Raw genomic sequence first — 12,091 nt, 5'->3', positions numbered from 1 at the left:
AACTTGAATCTCTTGGTGAATTATTCTAAACCTATCCACCTCCCAGCATGTCTTACACTTATAAAGTTACTATTTGCCTTTTACTTGCAAGAGGATAAAATTTGGAATCTTAGACTTCATTAGGCTGAAAGGAAGCATCTAGATAGACTGATAGGATGGTGATGTGGTTGGGATATTATCCCCTTCAAATCTCATGTTGAAATGTGATCCCCGGTGTTGGAGGTGGGCCTAGTGGGAGGTGATCTGGTCATAATGATGGATACCTCATGAATAACTTGGTGCCTCATGAATTGCCCCTCTCTCGCTGTGTAACAGGCCTACTCCCCCTTTGTCTTCCACCATGATTGTAAGCTTCCTGTGGCCTCACCAGAAGCTGAGCAGCTCCAAGCACCAGGCTTGTACAGCCTGCAAAACCATGAGTCAAAAAATCTCTTTTTTAAAATAAATCATTCAGCCTCAGGTGTTCCTTTATAGCAACACAAAATGAACTAATATAGATGTCCTGTCCTTAGGGGAAAGTTATCCAAGTCCTAGGATTAGAAATATATTTTCAATAGCCTAGCCTCTGGAACAAATTATATCTAAAATTTAAAAAATTTGAAATTAGTTGAATCTAGAATCTGGTAGGTAGATAGATCTAGTGGGCTGAGAGGAGGCCCAAAGTGTGCAACTCATTTCTTTGATTAATGAGGTACTAATGGCTAAATGTTGTTCTAGAATCATGTGTCTCCAGTCCTGCCTGAGGCAGGACTGTATAATGTATATATACTCATGCCTGAGTGTACTATCCAACCAACAACAAAACAAGCTGCTACATTTAAATGCTAACTTCTGCAGATATACAAATGACCACACACTGACACTCAAATATTTATTCTTATTAATAATAAACCTCAAAATCTAGAGTACTGGTGCAGACACCCTGTTTATTTAAAAATATTCCAAGATAAAGCCACTGCTCCTCTTGCAAATATATGTGCTACTTTGTTGAATAATTTGATAGGAATTTTAGGTTAAACAACTATTACCTTTTGTCCCAGGCCAAGTTGCCTTTTACTGATTTAAATGTTGACTACAGCAAGTGGAAAGCATAAAAAATATAATGATACAGCCCTATAAAAAAATCAAGAAAGGAGAGGCGCAGTCCTGCCTGAACAAATATCATTAAGCCTAACCATACCTAGAGGGCAGGGATTTGTGTCAGTTTTGTGTCTCCGGCGTCTAAGAGAATGCTTACGAGCTGGAGACACAAAATACATATTTCTTAAATGAATGGTCTTCAATTTTTAAATTCTTTTCCATTTCTAATTATAAACTCTACATCTCATTCTCTCATTTATTTTATTCCATTTTCTCCTTTTTATGTGTAATATCTTCAGTATCTCTAATAAGCACATCTCTGTCTATCCCCAAGACACATGCTAAGCAGCTTAATGTGATGCCCATGCATCTCCAAGGTGTTTCCTAAGGGAAAAGGGAGATTTTGGAATCTTGCAGGATCAGATTTTGTTCTTTGGAAATAATAACTGAGTAGATGAAAATCTGTAAGACAATCACTCTTTAAAACATTTACTACCTTGGAAGACCGGGAGGATTGAGGGTTGAGTCAAGAACAAGCATCCTTACTAAACATATTTTATTTAAATAAGAAAGCTTTTGACCACCAACAAAATTGTTTTTAAAAATACAGCAACAACAACAAAAACCAGTGATCCTGTGAGATGTAATTACACCTCAGGACACCACATAATTTTAATTATGCCAGAATATGTTGGAATATGGTGAAATGTATAGAAAACGTGTCCATCTGAAACCCTTTACTGGACGAAAATGTATTTCACAATAGCAAGCTCAAGCAGTAATGAAACCTGCAGTGTATCAGGATGACCTTTCAGACTGTGCCAATATTGACAAAATCAAGGAACTCTTTGGAAACCTAGATAGGACAAGCAAATAAGAAACGCCAAGAGATCACACTACATACTTAAGTCAACCAAACAAAGTTTGTTTGTAACTTGACAATATTCCTATGAATCAGAAATTATAATGCCTTTAAAAAATGTGTTGGGGTTCTAAATTTTAAATTTGATCTCTTGGAATTGTTCATATTATTTTTAAGAAATTCCCAGACTAGCAATTAGCTCAAATAGCTTTTTAAAAATCAACTTGCATTAAAATTAGTTAGCATTAAAATGTTCTATATTATTGAAATATGTCGAAGCCACTTCAGGTGTTTGCCTGGAAATCATGGAACCATATGTATGCATATGGTTATGTATGCATGTGTATGTATATGCATGTTTATGTATGTGTATATTTATGTGTGTATATACCTATATATGTCTGTGTATGTATGTGTGTGTATATGCATAATGTTTAAATATCTTTAAGTATAAAAACAACAAAAAATTCCAACGCAGTGCTTGTTTAGGGTAAAATTCAATGCAGATTCTCAAGCCTTAGCATATTAATGCTCTCCAGCTCAAAAGATCAAATGTCAGCATCCCACAGTACTTGTAGCAGATTTAAGACAACAGGGAACAAGAATCCCAGATGCTTTGCCTTATCAGCAAATCTTTTTCAGGTAACTAATCTTTAGCTCATCATGCAGTTTTGCCACCTAAGAGATTTCTTTTACTCCCTCTCTTAAGTGTCTGTCTGACTGCATTTGTTCTAACAACTTAACTGCAGTGTCCTGTCATTATTACCTGATTTATTAAGTAGCCAAGGGTCAAACATGCTTGAATGTCTACAATAGGTATCAACAATGTGGGCAGCATAATAAAATGAGATCCAAATAAATGACTGTGTTATAAATATTTTATGTTAGTGAAAAAAATGGTAAAAGCTTTTGGGCTTCTCTGAGTCCTTCTGAAAGGATGTGGTTTTTAAACAACAGAGCCACTTCAAAACCAAACTCTAATTTTAATTCAAAGATGATGTCTCTCAGTGTTCCACACCTGAACTCCAGTTGGTATGTAATTCCTAATAAAATTTCTAGGTAAAGGACGTCACTGTTTTTGTCACTGGATAATATTCTGAATACCATTTCCATCTCAGTAGCCTGTATTTGGCAGCTTAATAGTGCTATGAAGTGAAAGGCATGAAAGAGGACTACAGTGCTGGTGTTTGGGGAGTGAAGAATATTTTTAAAGCAGTTAAGGCAGGAAAGAATAGTCTGGGTCTAGGGAAAATAACTTATTCAAGATTATTGGAAAAAAAAATGCAGATAGCATCACAAAGCTAAGTCTCCTGCTTTCATGTTAAGGATGAAGGATATTTCTTAGCAATTTTGAAAGTCAGCCAGCCTTTAGTTCTTTTGCATTATAATGAGCCACTTCCTTATTCCCTGCGTATGCACCCTGTTGTCCTTACTGACCTTCATTTCTTTCTATAATTGTGGTAACATTTAACATGAGCTCTACCCTTTAAATAAATTTTTGAGTGCACAATACAGTATTGTTATCTACAGGTGCAATGTTCTATAGCTGATCTCTAGAGCTTTATTCATCTTGCCAGACTAAGACTTTATGCCCATTGATAAGTAACTCATTTCCTCCTCCTCCCAGCCCCTGGCCACTATCATTCAACTTTTTCTATGAGTTTGACTACTTTAGATAGCTGATCTAACTGGAATAATGAAGTATTTGTCTTTCACACTGGCTTATTTCACTTAGCACAATGCCCTCATTGACACATATGGCAGGATTTCATTCTTTCTTTAAGGCTTAATAATATTCCATTTTTTGATATATATCATATTTTGTTTATTTACTCATCCTTCAGTAGACATTAAGGTTGTTTCCACCCTTGGCTATTGTGGATAATGCTGCCATGAACTTAGTAGTGCAAATATCTTTCAAGATCCTGATGTCAATTTTTTTTAATAAATACCCAGAGGTGGAATTGCTGGATCATAAGGAAGTTTATTTCCACACTTGCTCTCATCTTCATCAGGGTTATCCCTATTCACTCATCAGGTCACATCTTAGCTGTCACTTCCCAAAAGAAACTTGTCTGGCCCCACCCTCTCACAATTGTATTTCTTGACTTCAAAGTGTTACAACTCAATAAGCATAGACCCAAGGTCACCACACTTCACCAAGCCTTCTTATCTCCTTCTGTGTTCTTCCCTCAGGGAATGGCTCCACATTCATGCAGCAAATCCATCCATCCACGCAGGGGCCCAAGACAGAAATGTGGATGCCATCTTGGTTCCCCTGTTTTTGTTCCCAACATCAACTTGGTAAATAAGGTTCTCAGTCAAATCTGCCCACTTCTCACCATGCCTACCCTGACTCCTCCGATTCAGGTCACCATCATCATCTCTCACTTGCTTGATGACAACCTCAGAGTTTCCTGTTCTTGGCTCCCTGATATCTGTTCTCTACTTTATTGTCAGCCATCCTTCTAACATGTGAATCTAATCATTTATTCTTCAGTGCTACCCATTTACTAGTCTCCGTTGCCTTCAGGATATAATCGAAACTTCTCATCACGATTTACAGGGTATTTCATAATCCCTAATCCATAATCTGTGTGGTAGATATTATCACCCTTAGATTGATTATACAGAGATACACCTTTGATTATACAGAGATAATCAAATTAGAGTCTCCATGATATTGAAAACCTTGATTAGTATCATACAGCCAGGAATTGGTGGTGTTAGAGGTGAATTCATATTATAAGCTTGAATAATGCATTCAAGTTTGATTCATATTTAGAAGTTTTAATTTATTTTTTGCCCAGCAAGATATACATTCTAGGGTCCCACTTAACATACTTATGATTTTATACACAGTATAGCACGGTTAAATTTCATTAGAATGTTACTTGTGTATAAGTTTTTAGACAACCCTTACTTGTTATCTTAGTTGGGTTCTCCTCAAAACAGAATCTGATAAAGGATTTGTGTGCAGGTAATTTACTTGGGAGGTGATCCCAGGGAGCAGGAGTGGGGAGGATTTTGAGCCAGGGAAGGAGAAATAGTCAACAGAAGTATGTGTTAAGGAATGCCAATGCTATGACATTGGGGCTTAATTTTGTAAGGACCTCATAAAAAGTGTCCTGGATGCCTCCCAGAATTCCTACCTGAGGGACAGAAAATGGAGAACTTTCCATCAGCTTCTGGCCTCATTGGCTAAGAGTAGCCCTCAGGGGTATTAACTTCCCCCAAGGTTCTAAGCTGCACATATGCAACAACCAAGCAAGATCCTGCCAGCTCCTGGGATCTGCAGAACTCCAGGTCAGAAAGCAAAAACAGGCAGCACACATATAGTCTCTCTGCCAGAATGATGTGAATTGAAGACCACATAGACCTGTCTAAAACAAAATCCGAGATAGTGGCCTTGAGGATAAATCTGGGCACCAGGCATCTAAAACATCCATCTCAAGAATGAAATAATTTAGAAATAGAATGCTATTTACTAACATTTCTAGACTCAGAACAAATTTCAAGTACAAATCATTGGTTATGGATTAACACAAATACGTTTTTCACTGATTTTTCTCTGCAGAAAATAAGTATAATTGAATTATGTGTATGTGGTCTTATTAAATGATTCATTTATTGCAAATAAGCACTAGGTATTTAGCTGCAAAGCTGGGGTTAATTAAGAAATCATTCTTTCTGGAAAAGGAACAGAATTCTCCACTATAATAGTCAATTTATGGAAATATTAAATATTAAAAACTCTAGGCCCTGAATTTTTCACACAGAAAATGGTTTTAACCATTGGTAAGAGCCTTTGAAGTCATATGGCTGACATTTTTCCTTCTTTTTATTCTCAGTCAGTTCTCAAGATTCTTTGCTGACTTATGTGTTAGGGCATTAAGAAGTATGTCAGGATCATCTATAACTTTCAAAAATGAAATATTTCACATATTTTTGAAACATAAACTCTTTATATCTATTTTGCTTCATTTAAAAATGTATGTTAATATATCCCCAGGCAGGGATAGGGACAAGATAGGAATAGGATGTAATTTAACATAGTAACAAAAGTGACTGCTTGATGTTGGAATTAAAGGAATTTTATTTTCTTCCTTGTGTTATTTCTGGATTTTCTATAGGTCTTACACAATTTTTGTAATATGAAACAATCCTACACTATACATTTTTGAAAGTTAAATTAAAAAGAAAATACTATGGTAACCACTTTTAACTCAAATGTGGCCCAAGATACTTTTTATGAAAAACTCACAACATGAGCTCAAGTAGAAAAGTTTCCCTTGCTATGAAAAAGTCTCAACCATTTGATTGTGTACTGAGTTAATCTATTTCCCATTTGTCAGAGGTGTTAATATCTTTGGTTTGGAGCCCATGCAGAAAGGGCTTGAGAGGTGATGAGCAATATGTATACAGAAGTGGGAGCTACAGTGGGGAAAAACTACAGTGTCCTTTTTGTAAGATAGGTTGCAGCAGAGCCTTCCAGGCAGGAATGAGGGAAGAACTGCAATATCCCACTGGCCTTAATTTTGACTAGATAGGGACACACATAGCATTGTACCATTTGTCATTTCATGTCATGCCTTTCTGGGTTGGTGATGACCTTGCAGTTTCTGGATAGATTTATCCATATGCTCCTGTTAGGAAGGTTCTTCTGGATATATTCCACTGTATTTCTCCTCCTGTGTTAATGGAAACTTCTGGGAAAGAACCAGAAACTTTTTACCTAAGGGAGCTGGTGAGCCCATTAATCATTAACCACTGTAATCACACCAAACCAGCCAGAAAAATAGGCTGATAGGCATAGCCGATAATTGCGTCAGGCTCACTGCTTACCACTGGCAAACCCTAGGTGGATCTTTATGCTGTTAACATGAGTCACTTCCGAGGCTCTCCTTTTCCACAAATTTCTGACATTGGTCAGCTGTCGCAGCATTTCTAGAGCTGCAGCACCTTGTCCTTCTCTTCCCCATGGCTGGCTGCAGAGTGGAGCTCCGTCTTTCTCCTCTGCCATGTCACTTTCAAAGACAGTCACATAGGCCCTTCAAGTTTGTCAGAGTTTTTGGTTTTTGTTTTTGGGAGGTTTGTTTGTTTGTTGCTTTGCATCATGAAAAAAAATGGGCATAACTGAAATAACAAACAAGGAACAAAATCTAGTTTCTGATCATCATAGCCCTCATGCTACAATGCTGATGCATTACTGAGATGGTATCTAGTTCCAGTCTCTACTTTCATTCTTCAAGTTGTTGTTTCCCAAATATCCCATCATTTTCTGACCTCCTCATTAGAGAAAGGAATGCAGAGTCTTTCCTATTCAAAGTTTTTTTATTCTGTGTATGTTGGCAAGGAAAGAAACTAGGACAAAACAAATGTGCCCTTTGTCTTTAGTGATTGATTTGCCTCTCTGTGAATGTCAATGCTAGACATTAGAGAGGCTTTACCTAATTCCCAATCTCCCCACCAATATATGCTCTCTAAATACTACATATTTTCCCTTTACAGCAGGGTTTCTCAACCTTGACACTGTTGACATTTTGGGCTGGATGATTCTTTGTCATGCAGGGCTGCACTATGCATTTTAAGATGTTTTGCAGCATCCTTGGACTCTACCCACTAGATGTTGGTAGCACCACCCCACCCCTTATCCTGGTCATTCATTCCTCAAGTTGGTGCTCTCCAGATATCCCGATTCTGACCTTCTCATTACAGAAGCGAATGCAGAGTGTTCCCTACTTGAAGTCTTTACTTCTGTGTATGTTGGCAAGCAAAGAAAACAGGGCAAAACAAATGTGCCCTTTATCTTTAGTGGTTAATTTATGACAACCAAAAATGTTGCCAGACATTGCCAAAAGTCTTCTGAGGGGGAGGGGGCAAAATTACTCCTGCTTGGGAGTAAAAACCACAGCTCTAGAGAACTTATTAAATTTGTAATTATATGTTTATTTGTGTAATTTTAAGTAATTACTGTCTCTTCCACTAGACCGTAAATTCCAGAAGGCTAGGATCATCTCCATTCTAAAACATGCCTAACTTATCTTCCTGGCACATAGTAGCTACATATTGAATATATATTGACTTAGTTAATGAATAAATGATATGGTCCATTTTATGAGCAATTACAATAATTCTGAAAGATCCAGGTTAGTGTCTACATCACATTTCATGAGAAAAATGACTATTCTTGTTATGCAACATAAATTATATTTACAAACTTTAACAATATATAAGGGACATGACATTTGAGACATATGAGTAACTTTTTTCTTATATTATTATTTGAAAAACTTACAAGTAGAAGAGTTAAAATTTTTTCAAAAATTGATTTGAATTTTAATTTATGTTGTATTTCTCCACAAATTATATCTGAATGTTTTTGAGTATGTAAGTACATTTATTAATGCTGATGGCAGAATAATTGTTTAGTTCTCTTAAAACATTTTATTAACCGGGTGTGGTGGCTCACACCTGTAATCCCAACACTCTGGGAGGCTGAGGTGGGCAAATCACTTGAGGTCAGGAGTTCAAGACCAGCCTGGTCAATATGGTGAAACCCCGTCTCTACTAAAAATACAAAAATTAGCTTGGCATGTGGCATGTGCCTGTAGTCCCAGCTACTCACGGAGGCTGAGGCAGGAGAATCTCTTGAACCCAGGAGGCGGAGGTTGCAGTGAGCCGACATTGTGCCACTGCACTCCAGTGTGAGAAACAGAGCAAGACTCTGTCTCCAAAAAAAAAAAAAAAAAAGCTAAATTTATTATAATTTTAAAAATTTTAATTACAAAATTAATATTCACACACTCTAAAAAAATAATTTAAAATAATTTAAACTATACAGATAAAGTAAATCCCTTGACTGTTTCACAAACTAGTGTTGTCCTCATAGTTGAAAACCGTAGTTTTGTTTTTTAATAAGTATTAAGATATTAAGGTTTCTTCCCCATACACACATTTATTTCCTGGCCCTTGACTCCAGTTAGCGGCATTCATCACCTTGGAGGAGAGCTAGCACACTCAAATGAACCAAACAGCAAGTCTAGTTCTTACGTTTCTAAGCAAACTTTTAAAAATCATGACAAAAACCATAGTCTTGAAAACCTTTTTTAAAATTTTTGATTACAAATATGGGGTTTTCGGTTTTGTTTTGAGTTTTAAGACTCAGAAGTAAAATTTGGGCAGAGCTGAGTAAAAGGGAAAAAAGCCACAAACAATAGCTTGAAAAGAGAATAGCTGAAGATTCAGAACAACTACCCCACTTCCATCCCTTCCCCCACCAGCATAGTAGATAATACCAGTCCTGGGAATGGAGATAGAGCAACAGTCAGACGTCCATGTAGGTCTTGAGGAAGAGAAAACTTTGACCAGGTGCTACAAAATTGATGGAAGGAGGGCTGTTGCAATGATCTATTACTGCATAACAAATTACCATAAAATTTTAATGGTTCAAAACAAAAGTAATTATTTTATTACCTCTCACAGTTTCTGTTAATCAAGAATTCAAGAAGGGCTGGGCTGGGTGGTTCTGGCTCTGAGAAGCCTATATATTCAGTGACCATTCCTGAGAATGGTATGATACCCCTGTCTGCGTGGGCAGACACCAAGTGGAGACCATTCCCGAACGTGATGGCCCTTCAGCACCTGTGAATATACATGACAGCTAAGGTAAGAGAAAGTCCTGAATTGATATCTGGAAGTGACCAGATTAAGTTTTCTACCATCAGTCCACATTGGAGCTCAACATATAATCTCTATGTTGATTTACAGAAAAATAAAGAATGCTATTAATTTCATTTTCGTATGATACCCACTATATTACTATTCCCTCTTGGGTGAACATTTAGATTGCTTCCAATTTTTTACCATAGAAATTATGCTGCAATGACAACTTGTACATGTTTATATGTGTACATGTCTATTTCTCTAGAAAAGATAAAATTTAAATAAAAATTCAACAGATTCTTTGTGCTTTTCCACAAAGAATTATCCTGCCCAACCGTTCATTGTATTACTAGAATATGAGCTACTTGAGGACAGGGATTTTTGTGTGTTCTGTGAATATTACTTGTACAATAAACTTACGTTGAACACAGTTATCCTTTATGTATCAAATAACTCTATTCTTTCTACTCAATATGTTTATCTTTGGAATAATCTCATGAGCCCTTTTTCTCAGAGAGCTCCATGTTTCCTGAATAAAACTAATGCCACAAGCAGTCTTACAAACCAGCTAAGGAAGATTGAGTAGGAATTTGAGTAGGAAGCTGGCTAGGGGACCCTTGCTCAAGAATATCAACCCTGTCATCTTTGAAGCTGTAATTTTTACAGCATAGTTGTTAAGGGTCTTGAGGAGGTTTGATCCTCTACTAAATGCAAGTATTCTCAGTAGATAATAAATCTTCTGCCCCCACCCATCACCACCAATAAATTTTACCATAATTATCAGCTGGTAATTTAAACATGGCTTGACAGAAACCAAGAGGACCAATTTTAATTGAGATTTTTTAAAAATAAGGAGACCAAAAAGAAGGACACCAAAGACATAAAATCTCCTAACTTCATTTTGTCTGGAGCCCACTTTGCCTGGGATTAGAGATGACAAAAGTTTATACTTAGAGAGCTTCAGTTGCTTGACAGTTACATTTCATTTGTGAATGTCACTCACTCTCTACTTCTCAGGTTTTCTTTTACCAATGTAAATCCACTGGATAAGTGCTATACCTACTTCTACTTAATGTATGAAGAAGGTTGCATTATTAGACATCAATAAGCATCTGTAATGTCACAATGCTGTCATTAAAATGTTCAGGTTTTATTTCTCTTTTCACACAGGACAGCCCAGGCAAGTAGAACAATAGTGTTTGCTCTCTCATCCACACAGCACCACCATAGTGGATATTGGGTTTTTTAAATCCCAAACCAGTCTGGGTGCAGTGGCTCACGCCTGTAATCCCAGCACTTTGGGAGGCTGAGGCGGGTGGATCACGAGGTCAGGAGTTCAAGACCAGCCTGGCCAACATGGTGAAACCCCGTCTCTACTAAGGATACAAAAATTAGCCAGGCATGGTGGTGCACGCTTGTAATCCCAGCTACTCAGGAGGCTGAGGCAGGAGAATTGCTTGAACCTGGAAGGCAGAGGTTGCAGTGAGCCAAGATCGCACCACTGCCCTCCAGCCTGGCGACAGACCGAGACTCTGTCTCAAAAAAAAAAAAAAAAAAAAAACAAAGAAAGAAAGAAATCCCAAATAAATGACTAAACAAGAAAAATGCAGACCAAGGCTTTTTCTGGGAGATCTTAAAACTGTTGATAACTTTTGTCAGTCAGCTTCAGATTTACACTTTTAGCTAAATATAATTGTGGAATAAATAGACCTTGGGAAAAAGACAGGTGGGAGGGAAAGGGAGATTGCTCATGCACCCTCAAGGATGTTCTTGAGACTTTCAGGATTACAAAAGGCATGTTTTCTGCTTCTCTAAATCAACCAATAGCAAAGGTTTCACATAAAAATGTTCTTGGGAAAAAAGCAAGACTAGTAAAACAGTAAAACAAATAAAATAAAAATCTATATGAAAAGAATTATTTTTCATTCTTATTTCCCTTTGACAATTGGCTAATGATCAGTTAGAAAATGAGGATATGATAGATCCACTGGCAGTCTAATAATTTAAATTTTTTTCTGAACTTGGCTTCCATGTGTGTTTCTACAGAAGGAAGCTCTTGGCATTTCAAAAGAGTATTAATAACCCAAGACTTCATCGGATTGCACAGACCTGGATGATTCCTTCTGTTCCTGTGGCTCATTCTTAGCTGATCTTCGAATGTCATTTAGATGACATTCAACAGCTATTGTATGTCCATGCATATTGAATATTCACTGTGTGCCTCATAATTTATGCAGCTATCACATTTAATTATCATAACAACTTTATGACTTGAACACCAATGTTAACCCCATTTTGGAGTAGAGAATGGAGGCGCATGGTGCTAAAGTCATATGTGTTTAGCTGTGTGTATGGGATTAAAATGCAGGTAGCCTGACTCTGAGGCCTATGCTTAACCTTCATGTAATCAATCCTTCAATCTGGCTATATGCTTTCCTATATGCACCCATGCATCCAAGCACTTACACTATTCTTGAACTTTTA

The sequence above is a fragment of the Homo sapiens genome, chromosome 8, assembly GCF_000001405.40.
Source record: "Homo sapiens chromosome 8, GRCh38.p14 Primary Assembly".
In the NCBI taxonomy this organism is placed as follows: Eukaryota; Metazoa; Chordata; class Mammalia; order Primates; family Hominidae; genus Homo; species Homo sapiens.
The sequence above is the reverse complement of the archived record's forward strand: the minus strand, read 5'-3'. Positions refer to the sequence as shown.